Source organism: Homo sapiens, chromosome 5 (genome assembly GCF_000001405.40).
Source record: "Homo sapiens chromosome 5, GRCh38.p14 Primary Assembly".
NCBI lineage: Eukaryota > Metazoa > Chordata > Mammalia > Primates > Hominidae > Homo > Homo sapiens.
Genome location: NC_000005.10, coordinates 73,281,160 through 73,301,760, shown reverse-complemented (window position 1 = coordinate 73,301,760; position 20,601 = coordinate 73,281,160). Strand labels below are relative to the sequence as shown.

The window sequence follows — 20,601 nt, the reverse complement described above, 5'->3', positions numbered from 1 at the left end:
AGGCTCATAAAAACCAGCCTTTTAAAAATGAGTCCCTAATCAGGAATTGCACGCCCTCTCCCTCTCCAGTGCGCTCTGGCCTGGCAAAGCCCACTTGGGAAAGTAGGTGCTACTGAAAAGAGTCACTAGCCTCTACCTGTGGGACTTCTGTCTCCAGGGTGCTTCCAAAATCTTTCGGGACTCTGTGTTCAGGACTAGAACTCTTCATCCACGGGGCTCCAGTGCAACCCCCTCCAACCCCCATCAGGATCTGAAGGCAAGGAGGACCAGCGTCCAGGACCCGGTTTCTGCGCCCCCAGGCTCTGTAGAAGTTCTGGGAAGAAGTTCTCATGGAAGCTGAGGGGAGGGAGACGCACGTCGGCGAACTCTGGGCCTAGCCAAGTTTCTATATTTTGAAGGGAGAACCATGTACCTGCCCTTGGCCTCACCTGAAGACAAACACAGGAGCAAAATTAAGCAGCGGAGCAACTTTCTGGAAAGGAGCTTAGGGAGAGAAAGCTGGTGCGAAACCGAGTGCGCGCTAGGCGTGTGCACCCGGGGAACAAGGCGTGCCCAGGGGTGTTCGCAGTGGCGGTGGGATGGATGCCCGCGCCACCTATGCGCAGTTATTTATAAACTCATTGTGGGCATCAGGGTACCCACGACGCCGTTCGTGTCGTTCGTTCCCTTCCTCCTGGAAGGGAAGAGCAAACAAAGCAGTCCTTGGCAACGCTCAACCTCTCTGTGTCATACATGTGGTTTTCAGTGTAAATGAATTTAGTAAACGCCAAGGCAACAACCCTGTTTACTTGTTTCCGTGTAGAAAGGTTAGCTAACGAACCCGAAGCCATCCTTCGCGCTTCTCTTTGATTCCGTCTCAGATTTACGGGCTTCTCCTCGGCTACACGACTCCAGCCATCGCCCCCGCTCCCTTGGCCCAGGCAAAGAGAGCCCTAGGCTCCGATTCCCGCCGCAGCTCAGAGCAAAGCGATTGCAGGATTTATCAACCCCCCTCCCAGGACCTCGGATTTCATCTCTTTCTTTTCCCCCTGCATGTTCAGTTTGTTTTTTCAAGACCTAAGCAATTTTTAATGTACTCTATACTTCCCGCTTAATCCTCATCGTTTATTGTATAATTATAGTTTCAAAGTGATTATGTAATTAAAATCATGTTTCGTTGCAGCAGGACTTCAAAAGGGCGGCAGACCCCCGCTCTGGCATTATTTTCTAGTGATGTAATAATTTCCCTGTGATATTTAAAATAAACACATTAGTCCAAGAATTCTAAACATGTCTCAAAGTATATAGTAGGCTTGATTGGCACGAGGCTGGGTTGTAAAGAAATGGTAAAACCTATCACTAGTTTAATATATTTCTATGCTCCCATGCAGGGTAAATTATAGGATAATGGGGCGCAGGCGATGGTAAGCTCTGTTTATATAATCCATTTCTTCACACGAGTTCCCATTGCTTTCCCTTCCCTTTGCTGTATGTGGTGGTTCTCTGATCCCCTGACCTCAGCCATGTGTTTTCACTTTTTCTTCTGATCTCAATTCCATGACCAGCGGGGAATAAAATACAAATTGAATAGTAACCATTCACAGGCCGCTCTTTTCAAACTGTTGTTAAAACCTCTTTGTCTTGTCTAGCGGTTGATAGATAAATGTGTTGTGTTTCGCCTGACTTTTTTTTCCCCTTCTTCCTCTTTTTTTTCCCGTGGCCAAGGAAAAAATAACCCTCCTCAGCCCAATTATGCTCTTTAAAAATTAAAACCCACACCTCCTTTCAAACCCTCTCCTGCGCGTCCCGCTCTCCCCGGTCTGCCCATTGGTTCGGCGGCTGTAGGAGACGCGGAGGATTCCACCACGTGAAATAAAGAAGCGGCGGGAGCCGAGCACGGCTGGGGGAAGGCGCGGTGCCCCCGTGTGAGGTCTGCGCCATTGTCCGGCGGCCTGAAGGTTCATTTAACATCGAACCTGTATCGCCTCTGATGTCCTAGCGCAGCGCCGAGAATCGGCTCCGAGGGCTGGGGCCGCCCCTCCTAGGAATCGAAGGGGGCAGGGGGTGAGGAAGCCTGGGAGAGGAAAGTTAAAATGAAAAATAAATCTCCTCCGTTGCCCGCCTTTTTCTTTTCATATCCAGACTTGCCTTCGGGGCAAGGTGGACAAGAGGCCGAGCTGTTTTACAGTTTTTCTCCAAAATGAGAAACATAATGGCTCCTGATTTCTGGATCTTGCCTTTCCCAGATCTCTCTCCTTTCTACTTCCTCGGCTTCTTCTTGGGAACGTAAAGGCAGAAAAAACTAATTGTAGAAACTCCTATCCCGCGGCCCGCCCTCCTTTTCATCAGAGCTTCTTCGGGGTCAACGGCGCGGCAGCGTCTTTGTTACTCCACTGCCAACGCCCGAGGGCTAGAGGGGCGGGATGGGAACTTCTCCTGCGGGCTCGGGACCCACTGTTTCTGCCTCTCCAACGGCTTGGCTGTGTGAAAGCGAGCGAAGGTGTCATTCCCGGGAGGGAGAAGCGTCGCCGCAGGGTGACTGGGAAGCCCTTTCCTTGGGCGCGCGGAGCCCAGGGCGCACGGCTGTGCCGCCCGGGTTTGCCCTCGGAGCGCCGGCGGGCCGGGCGGGGGCGCCTAGCGGTGGCAGCCGGGAGCTCGCGGCCGCCAGGGCCACCAGGCTGCTCGCCTCGTCCGGGTAGGGTTTCCTCGGCGGCGCAAACCCCCCGAAATCCTCGAGGCCGCTTGACAGCGCTCTTCGCCATCGGCCCGCGTACCTGTAAACTGAGCCCCGCTCACATGCTTCACATTAAACCTCCGTGCCCGGTGCCTTTTCTCTTTTTTTCCTCCCAAAGAGTTCTTATAAACTTCCCTTCGTTTATGTAGCCTGGTTTTCATTGCTCCGGTTTTGCATGGGTTGCCTTTGTTTAGTTTATTAACCCACGGGGTTACTTTAACTAAACATTTGGGCTGAATACTTTGGGGTCGGATTTCAACGTTTTCTAACGAAATTACTGAGTTTTTTGAAGCTGCACAGAGAACGCTGCGTTGGGTTTATTAGTCAATTTAACAGACTATAAGGGAGGAAAAAAATGCACTCAGGACAGTCCGGGTTCGTATCCACTGGGCGGAAGCAGCTCGATAACCCTCGGGTCGGGGCTTTAACCGAGCGAACCACGCGGCGCGACAATTGGGGCGCGCTTCCAGCGGCAGCAAAGCGCGCGCCCCGGACCTTGGGACCTTCTCCGTCCCCCAGCACCCCACCGGCTCCTCAAGGCGCGCGCCCGAGCTGCCATCGCTGCACGGAGTTCCGACCCGGCTCCTGGCCAGGCCCGCACAGCCCGCCCGCGCAGAACAGGGGGACACGGGAGAGGGCGGGGCCCTGAGACTCGCCTGTGCGTCCCCCGCCGGGCCGCTCCGGCGTTTTGTCCCAGCTCTCGCCACGCAGTTCGGTGCCAGCGACGGAAAGGCACAGGGGCCCCCGGTGGGACAATTCATGGTAAAGGAGTCCTGGTGGAATCTGCCAGAAAGATTAAGGACGAATGGGCAGCCTTTGAGAGGGGCAGGGAGCAAGCTGGCCACCCCATCCTGGGCTAGGGTGCGCCCCGGGCCCACCTGGAAGCTGTGGGGGCTTTGTCCCAAGCCCAAGGAACATCTAGGCAGCTGGGAGAGTTGGACGCACTGCGGGGTGCGGCCCACCCTCCGAAAAACGGCAGTTCCAGGCAGAACCGAGACACCCATCGCCTGCTTGGCCTAAGTGAGCGGGAACGACCGAGATAATCCAATGACGATGCTGCTTCCCAGGTCGGCTCTACCTGGGGCAATGACAAGGACTTTTCTCCACAGTTTCCTAATCAGCCACCACCAACCTCTTTCCCTACTCTCTCAGACTCTCTTCTTTTCCGCAGGATTTTGGCACTGATGCCAGCTGAGAGAGGACCTAGCCAAAACGTCCTTGACCTGTAGGCGTCTGGGATGAAACCGAGAACTTTGTTATGTTTTTTCGGTGTAGGTAATGAAGTGGAATCCCAAACAGAAAAAAAACCTTCAACTATCTGGGAGATAGAGGGTAGAAAGGAGTGAAACATTGAGGTTTCTGAACACCTACCCCGGGCTGGCCACCAGAGCTTCATGTGGGTGAAAAGCAGGGTGTCTGCTACAACAAGCAGCCACCAGGGCTCTGGAGCCCAACCGTTTAAAATTGAATTACAGCAGGTAGAACTGTATATGCAAGAAGTTCAAAATTTGAAAGATATAAAACTATGTAACAGAGGCTCCCAATTCCCCTCCCTAGTGGGTTCCCCTCAGGCTCCCACTTCCCCTCCCTAGTGGGTTCTTGTAAATTGTTCTAGAGAAAATTGAAAGCTTTTGCAAAAGGCTTACCCCGCTTCTTTCCTTGCTCTGCTTCCACCCTCTGGTACCCCCTGTTCATTTGACTCTTCAAAGCCTCCAAGAGGGCCTCCACCTCCTTAGAGGCTGACATGTGTGTGTCCCCCTTTTCCTAGTAGTGCTCTTGAGGCCTGCTAGCTTGTCAAACTCAGCATAGCTCAAAAGGACTCCTCCGGGTAAAGGCGCAGGCCAGTCGCCTCTCCCTGCTTATTTTCCAAGTCCATGCTTTGCCTCTCCTGTCTTTTTTCCTCCATGTCCTATGTCCCTTCTGTAGGCCAGTCCTCAATTCCTCCTCATTTGGATCACTGGGACAGCCTGCCAGCCAGCCTCCCGTTCTTCCATTCCCTTCCCTCCAGCCCACCCAACACTCACCACCACAGCGATTGTCTAAGGCCAACTTGATGTCCCTTATCTCACCAAAAGCCTCTGTGGTTTTCCCTGCCTCTGAGTCACCAGGCTGCAGACTGCTGATTGAACAAGATCCCACCAGATCCACTGCAGAAGTTTGGTCATGGCCCCGAGCCTGTCTGACTCGGACCTCCCTGGGATGACCTTGGCTCCCATGCCAGTTCTCTTGCCCACCTCTCCTGTGAGCACTTGTCTGTCTCACCTTCTCCAGCAGTCTGATTCCTCTGGCTCGCCTGCCCCCAGACCTTCTCTTGAACCTTCTCATGCCTGGCATCCCCTTTTCCCATCTCCGCTGGTCAAAATCCTCCAAGGCTTTGCAAAACGCTTCCGTCCCCTGACTCTCACAGTAATTTGTTTGCTACCATTGACGCAGATGTGTTTCAGAGTCATTCCGGTGTTTGCCCTGTTTCCTCTCCTAGATTATAAACTTAATTCCTCGCGCATACAAAACAAGCAATAATGTTTTCCTTAACTTAATAACATCCCCCTCACTAATCCTCTTTTCTCCACCCCTCCAAAAAAAGAAAGCAAGAAAAGTCCAATAAATACTGAAGTACCTTTCTCTTTCCTAAATCTAAATACTCGTTAATATTAGTTGTTAGATTCTCACAAAAGTAAATCTCACAGAGGCATGCCTTATTTACAGGATTAGCCCCTTTAGAATACATATGCATTTAAAGAGAACTGGTTATTTTAAGCCATCTCCACTTTACTCAGGGAGGTGGGGTGAGGGTGGGCCACATGGGCTGTTGTTCACGCAGTGGAAGAGTGAATGGTAACTTAGGGCTCCATTTCTGACAGGTTTTAGATGCCTGATGAAAATGCTGTCCCTTTAGAATGTTCTACATATTATCTATAGCTGAAGGTCTGGGCGACTATCCAGATTTCATTTCATAAACATTCCTCCTCATACTCCCTGCTCTTCAGGGGTAGGGAGGCCGACTCTGCAGCAGAGGGAAACCTCTCCCAAGACCCCTGCATCTTTCGGTCTTTTTTTTTTTTGGTCCTCCAATTTTCATGAGCACAGCTTCACATCCCTAGCCTATTGATCTGAGCCACTGTGGTGCCAAGAAGTGGAGAAGAAGTTTGAGCCCCTCCCCATAGACTCCATCAGGAAACCTGAAATAAAATGTAATGGAAGTAAAACTGTGTTGGCTGTGCCAGTGCATCCATAAGCCCAACATATTTCCCGTCAGCCACATTGCTGTCCTTAAGCCCCTTTGAGAGCTGCCACTGGTCTGACCAGGTTTTAAATGCCTGACAGTCCTTTGACAGTCCTGTTTTGTAGAGAGATTTTATGAATCTCCACTTGCGCTACTGTAGGGGGCAGAGTGACAAAGGTAATTCATTTTCTACTAGTACTTGCTGCTCACCAACTACAACATCAAACACCAAGCAGGTGCTGGGGATGAGGCATCTTGTCCACTGCTGTGTGGGGGCTGCTGTGGACAAGATGTACAAAGGCCCTGCTTTCTTAGGACTACCCTTCCTGTTAGAGGGACTACAGTAATGTATTTTAGGCTTAACCTCATGGTACCCAGTCTCAGCTGATGGAGAGAACACTGAGCTCAGAGTCAGCCTTGAGCTCCTCTAGTCCATCAATGCTCTTTATGTTTCTAGAATGATTTACTTGACCTCACCCATCAGTTTCTCACCTCCTTTCTTGGAAGGTTTCTGAGACTAAGTCAATGTGCACCGAGATCTTCTAAACATGAAATATTCAGATGATTGGGTCTGGAAGTTTAATTGTGATTATAAAAGGAAATCTGATCAGTTCTGTGTAATAGCAAAAACAGACACACACACTCCTCTCTCCTACTCCCCACCCCCAAGAAAAAAACAAACAAACACCCTGGAAAGAATCTGAAGTTAAAATAAAAAACAGCTGGCAGCGGGCCCATTGTGTGTGATGATAATTAGATAAATGTTTTCCAAGTATGGGATGATCTTATGAAGACAATGGTTAGGAGAAAAAAAAACTTAGGACAGAATTTAGTGAATCAGTGATTCCTGCTTGCCTACAAAGGATTTAAGTGACATACATGTCTCACAATCTCTAATTTGGTACATTTTATTTATTTATTTCATGCATCCTGGGAAACATATCTTTGGCTAAAAGAGTGAAGAAAAACTTGAGGCTTGATTTACAAAAATTAAAGCCACAACTAGGCCTTGGATCAAGGTTGTGTCCTGGGCCTGGAAAGCCTCATCCTTCATTGGCTCAAACCTTTCCTGCCCCGAAGAAAAAGAGTTAAGAGTCTTAAGCTAAAGCAGCTCTTCTGCCATGTGGGACTCTGACTTGGTTGACCCTCTCCCAGATTGTTGTAATCCTGAGTCTGGAACGGATATTGGTCTGGTTGGGGTGAAGGCTGCCTCCTGCTTCTGAGTGGCTTGGGTTCTTCTGAGCAGGCCTGGGTGGGGGCGGGAGCTGCGGTGGAGGAAAAGCAGGTAACACCAGCAAGCTGGCCAACTCTGTGCAAGATCCATGCCTCCCTTTCCCCTTCCCATCCCCCAACCAAATTGTGCTCTTTAGAAATCATACCTATTAGACATTTACACCTTAGTGTGAATTTTAAGGTCCTATGTTAACTCACTCAGGGTTATTTATCTTTTAAGCTTGGGCTTTGATGGTAAAAGAAAGTAATTTATCCCTATTTAAATATTTTCCAGTATGTGAACATGAGGAGGCTTTTGGTGGAAAAGGATTTGAAAGAGAAATAGGAAACTCTCTAAGTTAGATAGTGCAGGGCTGGGAATAAACTGGTGAAATCCCCTCTGCCAGAGCCAAAGAGAGGTAGCACAGTGGACTAGAGATGGAACAAAGAGAAACGGTAAGGAGAGTACCTTGGTTTATTATTTTATTTATTTATTCAGATGGAGTTTTGCTCTTTTTGCCCAGGCTGGAGTGCAATGGCACGACCTCGGCTCATTGCAGCCTCCGCTTCCCAGGTTCAAGTGATTCTCCTGCCTCAGCCTCCCGAGTAGCTGGGATTACAGGTGCGTTCCACCTTGCCTGACTAATTTTGTATTTTTTGTAGAGATGGGGTTTCACCATCTTGGCCAGGCTGGTCTCGAACTCCTGATCTCAGGTGATCCACCTGCCTCAGCCTCCCAAAGTCCTGGGATTACAGGCGTGAGCCACCACGCCCGGCTTACCTTGGTTTAATGAATGGACCGGTCTGCTCTCTGCTTCAAAGACAGGAAGAACAGCCAGCCTACGGTGTCTACAGCATTTACCCTGAACTCTTTTTGGGGACTCAGACCTCTTCCCTTGATCCACCCTCAGATTTTACGACAGGGGTGTGTTATCTGTTGATGGGAAAGATGGTGGCTACTCTGTTCAGAACCAGCCTTGGAAATACTTAGAAACAGGGACAACTGCAAAGTGTATTTGATGCACACAACATACATCATGTCCGTGGCTGATAGGCACTGGGTATTTACTGGTTTGCCTCTATAGAAAGTAAAAAGCAGGTTTAAAATTTTCTTTTTAATTAATGAGGGGTTTAAAAAAATAAAAGCCCACTTTCTGAATATAAAAGACACATGCACTGTGCAAAAAAAGTGCAAATACAAAAAAGCACAAAGAAGAAAGTGTAAAAAAAACCCCAAACAACTCAAAATCTTACCCAGAAGTAAGCATGACTAACATTTATGAGAACCACTTTCCAGAATAACTCTCTAGGCATGCAGGTACTTATAGCTTGATATCTATAGCATCACATGAAAGGGCTGTATAACATGGGCTCCTCTACATGACAGGGCCTGCACATCTTTCCATGACAACGCATATAGAGTTGCATTATATTTTTCCTTTTCTTTTTTCTTATTTGGTGTCAAACGTACACATAGGAAAGTGCACAAATCACACATGTGTGGTGCAATGAATTTTCACAAAGTGAACACACCTACGTTACCAGCAGCCAGATCAAGAAACAGGACATTTCCAGCATTCCAGAAGCTTGTCTTGCCCCCTTCTCCAACTTCTGGCCTCAGGCAATCTGCCTGCCTTGGCCTCCCAAAGTACTGGAATTACAGGCACACGCCACTGCACCCAGCGTGGTGCCGTATTTTTCACACAATTTTAGTATGAAATTGTATAAAACATACAATTTTAGTGTGATTACTAAGAAGCAAACGGAATCAGGAGTCCACCTCCAGAATTGGAAACACCTCAGTCTCTGATTCTGTTTGTGAAGACATGAGTGTAATAATGTGCCCTCTTTCATTCATATTCTTTACTCTAAGGCGCTGACAGTAGCTCTCTCAGCCTGAATTGTCAATATTACCTGCACCAAACTTTGGCAAGATAATCATTGAGCTACAAGGCTCCAATTACTATTAATTATATACAAGAATCATTACTTTTTTTTTATTTAAAAAACAATTAATACATTCACATGGTTGAAGAATCAAGACAACATGGAAAGTATGAATCAAGACATCTCGTTCCTATACTGGTGCCTGCTCTCCACTTCACTGGCCTTGAAGTGTATAGCCAGTTATATTCGCTTCTTCTATATAGCCCCAGTGTTCATGTAAATGTAAGTGTATTTTTTATTCTACCCCACCTTTTTAATGCAAAAGGTAACATATGGCTTATACTTAGCTTGTCCAACCCATGACCCACGGACCGCATGCACCCCAGGATGGTTTTGAATGAGTCCCAACACAAATCCATAAACTTTCTTAAAATATTATGAGTTTTTTTAGTGATGCTTTTTAGCTTGTCAGCTATCGTTAGTGTATTTTATGTGTGGCCCAAGACTATTTTTCTTCTTCCAAGGTGGCCCAGGGAAGCCAAAAAGTTGGACACCGCTGGCGTCCACTGTTCTGTGTCCTCCGTTTTAAGTCTATATCCTGAGCTCCCTTCCTATTGTTGCACAGGGAGCAACAAGGATCTTAATGGTTCTATTAATGAAGGCAGGGGCAGCTACTACATGGAGGAGAACTTGATATTTGAGTACACCCTCCTACCTTTTAGTTTTTCTCTTCATTAACGTTTTTCCGGTTTTACATGTGTATGCAATCTTCCTGGAAGCAACAGAAGCGGTGCCAACCTTCCTCAAAGAAAGGAAGATGGATCACTTTAGCTATTTTTCTCCCTTTCATCTAGAAAAGCACTTTTGGGGAATGTTTTTATACATGGCTTGAGCTCATTATCCAAAGTTGGTCATAAAAAGAGAGTTTGTGCCTGCTTTTGGCTTCATCAGTCACACTCCAGACTCATATCTTCAAACGGCCCCCTTCCCTGGTCTGAAGGCCCGAGTTTCCCACTGTGAGCTGAACGTTGCCACTGAGGTTTCCACCAGAGCACCTTCTCCGTACCTGACACTGATCCAGACTCTGAGGCTTCAGCCCTGTCGGGTAGACAAAGGAAGTTTCTGCTCTCCTGGGGCTTACACCATGGTATGGGGGCGCAGAGGACATATACTGACAAACAAGAAACGTTCAGGTAGTGCCAACAGCCATGAAGGCAAAAAAAAAAAAAAAAGCATGGAAAAGGGGCGAGAGACTAACTAGGTTGTGACTTCAGGTTGGTGGTCAGGGAGGCCTTTCTGAAGAGGTGACGTGAAAGCTGAGCCAGCTACGGGAAGATCTGGGAGAAGAATATTCTAGATAGGAGTTAGAGTGAGGGTGATATGCTTCAGAAACAAACTAAGCATGAGGCTGGCGCCTCATGAACAAGTATAAAAACCTGGGGTTCATCACCTTTCCTGCACATGTAACTGGACCCTCGCACTTCTCCGATCCCCTCGGGATCTTATCAGTCTCCTGGGAGCCTCCTCAGAAGCCCTGGCAGCCCCTTTGCCCTCAGCCTGTCTTCCACCCCTGCATCCCACTATTCCCAAAGTTGCTGCATCCGCCCAGCTAGTTTCCACTGCCACCGCGTTTCGCCAGCCCTTATTGCCTCCTGTAAGGTTACACTGAATTTTAAAAAGAAACAAACCTTCAAGGCAATTGGAGAAAATGACAACTTGACAGTAATTAGGGCCCCGCAGTCTTGGTTTGTTTTCATTACTTTTACATGGTTATGACCTGGCCCCATCCCCTACCAAAAAAGATCAAAACTATTTCAAATCATTACATTGGAACTGTGGGCTTTGTTTGGTGGCTGACTGTTCCTTTTGTTTGTTTAAATCGTGCAACTTCTTTATCTCCTTTATTTGTCTCACCTAGCTTGAATAACTACTTGTCGGGAAATTGATTACCTTTGTTATGAACACAGGTTACAAATGTGTAGAAAGTACAGGACAGCAAGAAAATACTTTTCTTAGTCTCTAGATCTAAGATGTGTCCACATATATAGCCAGGAGATAACTGAAGAAACGATCTACGTTGTTTAAGCAAACACAAAAATAAGTGTTTTTGTTTTGATCTAAGTGACTTAGCACAAATAAAGACTTCTGAAGATAAATGTTTAAAAGAACCTACAGAAGGAGCAGGGCCCACGCCCCCTGCCTGTGGATATGCATGTGTTATTTTAATATCCAGGCCCCAGGTCTCCAGCTCTACAGCCCCCGTAGGTGGACTTGCAGGGCCTCAGGGACTCCTTTCTCTCTGGAATCCCAGGAGTCTGATGTGATATCGCAGGCCAGCCTGCTCCTGGGGTATGGGACTGCTTCCCTTTCTTCCTGGGCTGTGGTGGCTGATTATTTCCATGGAGGGAGGACTGAAGGAGAGGAACAGGCAGGGAATAGGAAGCTCCATACCCTCTCAAGTCTAAAAGTACAAATTTGGCACCAAGTTCGGGATGCAGGCTTTTATCACATTTCTGTTTCTGGACAGCCCTTTGTGAGTATTCTGTGGTGAGTGAGGTTTAGTCAAACAAACTAGAATGTCTCTTACATTACTTTTCTCATAAGAGCAGTGCCTCACACTTGGTGAGCGTTCAGAGTAAGTTTGGTGATTAGATTGCATTTGTTCATTCAGCAGATATTTTATTGAGCACCTACTTTGAGCCAGGCATAGTTCTAAGGATTGGAGATACAACAATGAACAAACAGACAAAAGTTCCTGTTCTTGAGGAGCTTACATGTTTTGAAACAGGGAGCAATTCCAGGTCTGCCACTTCATATAGGGATGATCCCAGGAAAGTATTTTCCTTAGTTCGGTTTTCTTATATCTGTCAAAAAGTTTGACTAAAGCCTTTGAAGACCACTGGCCTGGCTCCAGTCTCAGCCCTCACCAGCTGCCTGCCCATGTAAAACTCCCTGAGCTTTGGTTTTCCATCTGAAAAATAGGCATGATAATGCCTTGTTAGAGATATTGTGGTATTAAATAGATAGCATACATAAAGTACTGTGTGTCGTATACACTAAGTGCTGACTGCCATTAGTAATAGTAGGTGCTCTTGAGGATACAATAAACATGTATAAAGTATAGTTTCTGCCCCACTGAGATTCAATATCTACTCAGGAGGCCAGACTAAAAGCAAGACATAATCACTGAGCAATGCCAGAGAGCATATAATTAAGTGGTTCAGTAAATTGTAGGGTGCTAACTATAAATGCCATAGGAATTCAGAGGAGGAAAAGACGGATTCAGGCTGGTGGAGGGTTGGACTTGTGCCTGGATCTGCAGGAGAGGCATAAAGGAAGATTCAAAGGGCCTTTCCAGGCCTGAGGACTGAGGCAGAGGTGAGCGTGTGGGTGGTAAGAAGTTGGCTGTATAGAAAGGTAGAGTCAAATCACAGCAGGCAGGGAAAGCCCAGCAGTGGAATTTAGACTTGGTATGAGAAGAGGGAAGAGAGATCAGTCTTAAAACCCCCACTCAGGTCAATCTAGGTCAACAGAAGAGAGAGGAGAATACTACTGTCGTTCACTGTGGGTCCTCACCCTGAGTGAGGAAGGCAGGCTGGTGTGTGGGTAATGGAGGAGGGGTCTTAAATAGGGCTGTTTTGGGGAGATGTGAGAACCTATTAACAACCCCCATAGCACTAGTCATGGATTAAGTTAGTAGGCTTGTGAAAAGCACTTTAAAACTAAGTGGTTTGATTTGTAATGTTAATTTCAGGGTATAATGTAACCTGTAGGGATGGTGCTACTATTTGGCTTGCCAGTCGGGGACGGGAGGTTATAAGATTTGGCAGAAGCATGGAGAGGACAAACACCAGTCTTTTGTGTGTGCCTCCTTGCCACCTCTCTGCCACCTTTCTCATAGAGCTGAGGCTGGCAGTGGGGCTCAGGACATTGACACTGCTCCTTCGTTTCAGGGTCAGATTCCCCATTTGGCCAGAGGATTTTGTGATCTGTGCTTTCTGTTTCCGTCCTTTGGTATGAATGACCATCACAAGCAGTGTTTAGAAGACATGCAGTTAGGCGTGCCCAGTAGTGAAAAGGATCCTTTATATTTCACCTTATTTAAATCCAGAGGCTCAAAACATTTCACAAATACCGACGCAGTGGTCTTCTTCAAAGCCTGGATAAGGGGAAAGTCACAAAATAAGGTTAGACAATTCCTGCAGGTTGATGTTACCATAATGGCTAGGAACCTGAGTAGAAAAACATCAGTATGCAATAATCCAGTTAAAGTATCAGGGTAGGAAAATCGTGTTCCTACTTTTCAGATGAAAAAACAAAAGCAGAGAGCAATCAGATAATCTGGCCTTGCTAAAGCTGAGGGAAAGGCTAGGCAGAGAATTAGGCCCCGAAAGTCCTCTAACACATCACACTAGGTGGCTGCAATCAGAACATTCATTGGTGGGATGACTAAATTAATGTAACCAAGTGTTCTTTGTTAAAAATTTATTTTATAGATAGTTTTCTTATTTTTAACTGTAGTAAAATACATATAACATAAAATTTACCATCTTAACCATTTTTATTATTATTATTATTTTGAGAGAAAAAAAGCGTCTCACTTCTTGCCCAGGCTGGAGTGCAATGGTGCAATTAGAGCTCACTGCAGCCTCAACCTCCAGGGCTCAAGCCATCCTCCCACCTTAGCTCCCCAAGGAGCTGGAACTATAGGTGCACACCACCATGCCTGGCAATTTTTTAATTTAATTTAATTATATATATATATATATATATATATATATGTATTTTTTTTTTTTTTTTGGTAAAGACAGGGTCTCGCTTTGTTGCCCAGGCTGGTCTCAAACTCCTGGGCTTAAGCAATCCTCCTGCCTCAGACTCCCAAAGTGTTGGGATCACAGGCGTGAGCCACTGTGCCTGGCCTCCATCTTAACCATGTACAGTCAAGATGTGCAGTTCAGTAGTGTATTAGTTCATTCTCACACTGCTATGAAGAAATATCTGAGACTGGGTAATTTTGAAAGGAAAGAGGTTTAATTGACTCACAGTTCTGCAGGACTGGGGAGGCCTCAGGAAACTTACAATCATGGTGGAAGGGGAAGCAAACACGTTCTTCTTCACATGGAGGTAGGAGAGAGAAGAATGAGAATGAAGGGTAGGGGAAAAGCCCCTTATAAAACCATTGGATCTTGTGAGAACTCACTCACTATCATGAAAACAGCATGAGGGTAACTGCTCCCATGATTCAATTACCTCCCACCAGTACCCCCAACGACATGTGGGGATTATGGGAATTGCAATTCAAGATGAGATTTGGGTGGGGACACAGCCAAACCATATCAAGTAGTTTTAGTACATTCACTTGTTGTGCACGCAATCTCCAAAATTCTTTTGATCTTGCAAAGCTGAAACTGTACCCATTAAACAATAACTCCCCATTCCTACCCCCTCACCAAACTCTTGGCAACCGCCATTCTACTTTCTGTCTTTATGAATTTGACTATTCTAGGTACCACATATAACTAGAATCATACAATATTTATCCCTTTGTGACTGGCTTATTTCACTTAGTATAATATCTTCAAAGTTCATCCATGTTGTAGCATGAGTCAGAATTTCCTTCCTTTTAAAGGCTGAACAATATCCCATTGTATTCATATACTACACTTGCTTATCCATTTATCTGTCAGTGGACAGTATTCATTTATTTTTAAGGTGACTTTTTAAAATTTAATGTTTTATATGGGTTACACATTCACATGGTTCAAAATTCAAAGAGTATAAAAAAGTAAATGTTGAGTCTCTCTTCTGCCCCAACAGCCACCTAGCTTCTTTCTTCATAAGCCATCAATGTAATTTGTTTCCTGAAGATCCTTCCAGAGTTGTTTACACACATGTACAAATGGTAGCATACTATACATGCTGTTTTGCAACTTGCTTTTTTGACTTAACATTTCTTGGCGATATATACATTCATAGAATGTAGACATACATGTATATTGTATTAGGGTTCTCCAGAGAAACAGAACCAATAAGATACAGAATCTATCTGTACAGACACACAAACACACACACACACACACACACACACACACACACAAGGAGATTTATTATGAGGGATTGGCTCACGTGATTATGGAGGCTAAGAAGTTCTGCGATCTGCTCTCTGCAAGCTGGAGACCCAGGAAAGCTGGTAGTGAAGTTCTAGTCCAAGTCTGAAGGCCCAGGAACCAGAAGCTCTGCTGTTTGAAGACAGAAGGTGGATGTCCCTGCTCAAGCAGACAGAACAAATTTGCCCTTGTTTAGCCTTTATGTTTGAGTCAGTCCCTCAACAGATTGGATTATGCCCACCCACATTAGGGAGGGTGGATTTTCTTTACTCAGCCTACCTTCTCAAATGCTAGTCTCTTCTGGAAACACTCTCACAGACACACCCAGACATAATGTTTTACCAGTCATCCAGGTATTGCTTAGCCCAGTCAAGTTGACCTATAAAATTAACCATCACAGCTGGGCGCGGTGGCTGACACCTGTAATCCCAGCACTTTGGGAGGCCAAGGCGGGCGGATCACGAGGTCAGGAGATCAAGACAATCTTGGCTAACACAGTGAAACCCCGTCTGTACTAAAAATACAAAAAGTTAGCTTGGCATGGTGGCATGTGCCTGTAGTCCCAGCTACTCAGGAGGCTGAGGCAGGAGAATCGCTTGAACCCGGGAGGCAGAGGTTGCAGTGAGCTGAGATAGTGCCACTGCACTCCAGCCTGGACGAAAGAGCTAGAATCCATATCAAAAAAAGAAAAATTAACCATCACATGCATACATACACCATCTACATAACTGCATAATATTCTACTCTGTAATTTATTTGTCAAGTTCTCTATTGATATTTAAATTGTTCACAATCTTTTGCAAATAATTCTACAATTGAAAAGTAACATGGTACATTTGTCATTTTACACAAGTGAGAACACTTGTAGAATAAATTCTTTGAAGTGGAACTACTTCATAAAGTGTTCATTTGTCAAAATGTGAGATTGTGATAGATATTGCCAAACTGACTTACATCAATTTTTACCCCTACCAGCAATGTAAGAGGTTGCTTCTTCACACGTTTGTTTATATGTTGAACTATTTACTATTTAATCTCAAGTAGTTCAAATGTTGGGAACACCGTAAACGATGCCACGGCCCTATGAAAAGAGCATTCTTCTTCCTTCTTTTTCGCTCTTCTCCTTGGGCAATTTTCAGGCCAGACTTCTGCATTTTTGACTAGGCTGATTCAAGTTGCAGGAATAGGGAAAATAGATAGCTTAGGTTTGGTGCTGGGATAGGGAGCATTTCACCTAGGCCATCTAAAGTGAGTGAGTGAATGCTCTTGTCCAATAGCTGTTTCATGACCTGCCTGAAATGAAGTGGTGGTCTGCATACAAAGTTTCCCATGTAGGTGTCCACGTCATCAAACCCTCTTCACAATCAGCCCTAATTAGCCACCTCCTCAGGCTGAGCAGGATGTGCAACTCTGCAGCCCGCAGACTCTTCCTCCAGGCCAGGCGCCAGCCCTCCCAGCTCAGTAGGGCTCTCTGGGAGAGTCTAACACAGTTGCAACCTGACTGGGCTCTTCCTGGGGTAAAGACCAACACTCTCACTGCCTAATCTTTATCAAACACTAGCTGTTTAAAAGCTATTTCAAAGAGAAGTGTCCTGAGTTCCCTGATTTGTTTTGACAGCTAATGATCTAAGTGCCATTTAGTATTGTGAATGCAGACAGCAGAATGACAGAGTGGGACTGGGACCTGGCCAACCCCTTCCAGCCCAGCACATAGTAGTAGGTGCTTATTGGGTGTTCCTCATGTATCTCACTCAAGCCCCAGAACCACTTCTCCAAGTATTATTTCACCTATTTTATAATGAAGATTCCAGAGAAGCAAAGTAACTTGCTCCAGATAACGGAGCTAACTGATGGTAGAGATCGGGTTTTAACGTTGGTATTGTGCCCACAGCTCCACTGGACCTTCCTGTTGCAGCCTTTCCTTATGGTGTACCTCCTGCCTGGAGAGTCTTCACCACCCCCGCCAGCCCTTCACCCTGCCCAGTCTGGAGCTGGCTCATTAGGAGGCCTGTGGCCAGCCCAGCACAGATGCTCATCAACCCTGGCCAACTGGAGCTTTCGGAGGGGCTGCAGGCAGTGAGAGATAAAAGGAAAGCACCACCCAGTGTTCCCAGAGAGTGTTGGAATCCAAACTAAACTTCAAGCACTTCCTCCTGTCTGGACTGCCATTCGCCCTGTATGCTCATCATGGCCCCTGGCCCTGGCTTGTCCCTGTCGCCCTTGAAGAGTCACTGATCTCTCTGTCTGCCCTTGGGCCAAGCCCTCCCCTTCTCTGCTCCCATAGCAACCACTCCCAACATAGTGAATTATAAAACTGTTCCCACCTCTGTCAACACTGACTAGGAACTTCTTGAGAGGATATTTGATATTGTTAGGTGCTCACCTTTTTAGCCCCAGTTCCTCACTCAGCATAGACCCATCCTAAAGTATGTTAACCTGAACTGAAATCTCTCACCTGATCCAATAGCACATGGGTAAGAGCCAGGAATCAAAGATGAAGCCAAAAGGCCAGCTGGGGAGGGAGCCACAGAGTGGGCAGATCCAGAACATTTGCTAGGGAAAAGATGCCTGAGGTCCTCCTTAGGGGTGGCAGCCCCATATTCATGGGTGGTCAATCTAGGTTAGAGAAAAAGGGTCAGAGTAGACTATGCCCATCCCATCCCTGAAAGTCCTGGATTCAGGCCCCACCTCTCCTGAGAAGTCCATTCTGCCTACTTCAATCCCATGGATTTCTCTTTTTTGTCTAATTCCAAAGTATTCTTCCTGTGCATTCTTGTATATGGCTTTGTTCTAACTGGACATGACTTTTGACGTATAATGTATTTCTCCAAATCCTTACAGCTAACCCTCATATAGCACAGTCTATCTGTCCAACACTGTTCTAGGCCTAGATATATATTTGATCTCATTAATCTTCACAGTGACCCTACATGGAAGGTACTATTATTATAACCTTTCTACAGAAATATAAATTGAGAGACAGAAGTGTTAAGTAGGTTGCCCAAAGTCACACAGTTAGTAAGTGGTAGGGCCCAGAATCAAACTCAGGTAGTCTGGCTTCAGAATCTATGTTCTTAATCATCCCAAGTGGAATGGAAGCCCCTGGAAAGTCACACTTTCACCCACTTCCCACCAATCTGTGGACCCCCGCACACTGAGTAAGAATCTCAGCAACATCTTTTGAAGAACAGTGGGCAATAGGATAGCTGACCCAGACCTGCCTATACCTGGGGTTGTTATAGCTTAGGTCAGGGGCCACCTGGGTTTCAAAAAGTGTTAGCTCTTTTTGATATCCCTTTATGGTATTATGGTCAAGGATGCCTTTGGGTGTAGATCATGTCTTGGAGATCTTCTCCTCCTAGCCTTCCCCTTTCTGTGGATCTCTGCTGATTTATTCCCAGTAATAAGGGAAGAAAGCCAGCAGGCACTTTTCCCAAGGAGTGTTAGTGTGTGTTTGTTCTTCATTAATGAGATGGTGGAAGCCATGCCAGCTGGAGTTTTACTAACCTGAAAGCCCTTGAATCTGACCTTTCCAGTATTGCCTTCAGTCTAGGAAGTAGACACCAGAAGCTGACAGTGACAGAGCAGGTGAGTTTTACAGGTTGGAGGTGCCCTAGGGTTGTGGGGGAACTGGGAGTTACTATTCCCACTGTCTTAGGTGGGGGTGGAGGAAGTAGATCTTTAGCTTCACAAACAAATGGGTTAATTTACACAGTCAATTACTGCTCTTGCATTCACTTATAGTTCCTAGAAGGGTGAGGAAGAGAGAGAAAAAGGGGATAGACCTACTGGGATAACATGAATTAGATCTTGGATAACAGATTTCTGACCAGCTCATTTTTCCCAAGGTGCAGCATAGCAGAGCTTTTCCTCTACCACCCAGGCCTCTTTGGGGCTCAATTTGCATGAAGCATGAAGTTAGTGCTTGGAGTGTGTTTACTCTCTTCTGTAAGTGGATCACAGCATTCCACCATCAGGAAAGTAAACCAGCCCTAAATAACACATTGAGAAGACCAAGGGACTCGATTAGCCACTTAGCGCTGGGGCTTGACGCCGGCACTCCTGCACATCCCACCCCCTTGAAATCGAACCAGAGTGATTTATGCCAGGTTAGAAGTAAAGGAGGCTGCTTTTAGTTATTTCACTGCATGTGCCTCCTGCAGGGTGGCCAGCTGGTGAAACACCCGTGTGGGCTGCTCGAGTTTTCATATTGATTTGCAAAGGCTCCCACTGATCCAAATGTCATAGCTGGTCTAGTATTCAAAGTTTAAATTCCTTGATTCGGGTCAACTGTTTTGTGCAAACCGAACCTGATGACAGTCTGCCCAGAATGAGCAACTATGAACACTGATTCTAAGATGACATGACAGATCTTCAAACAAAGAAATCCGAACTTGCATATTTGCGGTGGTCACCTGCGAGGTCGACACTGACATTTTTCTTGGTCATGAAACAGTTTTGGAATCTCTCTTTGGAACTCCAGAATTTACAGTACCTTCTTTTGCATGCCTGAGGAATAGCAAAGATTTGGTTTAATTGAGGGTGCATCTGATTTTTGGAAACTATCAAAAATAATTTAGAGCCAAATCTGGTGGGTCAGGGCAGTAATCATATTGGGTGATACCATTTGGGACTTAAACCAAAAAGCGTAATTATCAAGTAATAGATTTAATTTTCCTCCTGAACCAGCCCTGAAGGCTGCCAAAAAGAGTAGTATAGTTGTTTTAGGCAATTGCAGCTTCCCAAAGTATTGATATCAACTTTAAAGGGCTAGCATTTACTCGGCTAAAAAGGTTATGAATTACTTGGGTTTTTAAAAATCATTCTTATTACTTAAAATCACACACATTTATGTAAAAACTCCTCCTCCTCTTAAATAACATGTGATTTTGTTGGCGTTTGAGCTTATTAACCAGCACTGTTTTTCCTGTATTTGTCATAGGCCATTAATTTATTTCAATAGTCCTACCATCACTCCTGTGTTTTCATTGGCAGCAGTCCAGTTCCTGAATGTACTGCCAAGCAAGGAGCAAGTAGTTTATCATAACAAGGGGCCAGGATTATTGTCGAGAAAAGCAGAGGGAGGTCGCATCTGCCCTGCCGGCCAGGGGCTGGAATTTGATTTGGGCTTCTTTTTTATCCAGGGCAGTTGTTCCAGGGAGGTCATCCTCTGCCGTTCAGTTCATTTCACTGTGATTTGCTGAGCACTAAACCTGGGCCTGGCATTGGGCTTGGCACTTGAGAAGGTTTAAAGAGAAGGAGAACATGGTTGCGCCGCACCCCCGCCCCCGCTCCATCGCCTCAGGGAGTTCATCAATAACTGCAAGTGAAGAAAAGGCAAACGCCATGAAAGAGGTGCAAATAAAATGCCATGGGGCCACACAGGGGGAAAGACAGAAAAAGGCGTCCCAAAGCAAGGGGATTGGAGGCACCGCCCACAGAGGGTGGCAAGGGTGGCA

The 20,601-nt window shown here is 46.0% G+C and overlaps 1 long non-coding RNA gene across 1 annotated transcript in view, besides 2 other annotated features; it reads right to left on the bottom strand.

The window, feature by feature from the left end:
• Positions 10,586 to 11,087: an enhancer, noted in NCBI's record as "NANOG hESC enhancer chr5:72586501-72587002 (GRCh37/hg19 assembly coordinates)". NCBI's record gives its function as "activates a minimal SCP1, AML or CMV promoter by ChIP-STARR-seq in naive H9 embryonic stem cells {active_cell/tissue: H9 hESC(naive)}" and the evidence as "EXISTENCE:reporter gene assay evidence [ECO:0000049][PMID:30033119]".
• LOC124901002 (uncharacterized) overlaps positions 11,698 to 20,601 on the bottom strand; it is a 76,128-nt gene continuing 67,224 nt past the window's right edge. The window contains exons 2-3 of the long non-coding RNA XR_007058818.1: positions 14,079 to 15,274; positions 11,698 to 13,194 (exon numbers count right to left, since the gene is read on the bottom strand). This is a non-coding gene — a long non-coding RNA (uncharacterized LOC124901002). The remainder of the gene's footprint in view (positions 13,195 to 14,078; positions 15,275 to 20,601) is intronic.
• Positions 12,331 to 13,175: an enhancer, noted in NCBI's record as "OCT4-NANOG hESC enhancer chr5:72584413-72585257 (GRCh37/hg19 assembly coordinates)". NCBI's record gives its function as "activates a minimal SCP1, AML or CMV promoter by ChIP-STARR-seq in primed H9 embryonic stem cells {active_cell/tissue: H9 hESC(primed)}" and the evidence as "EXISTENCE:reporter gene assay evidence [ECO:0000049][PMID:30033119]".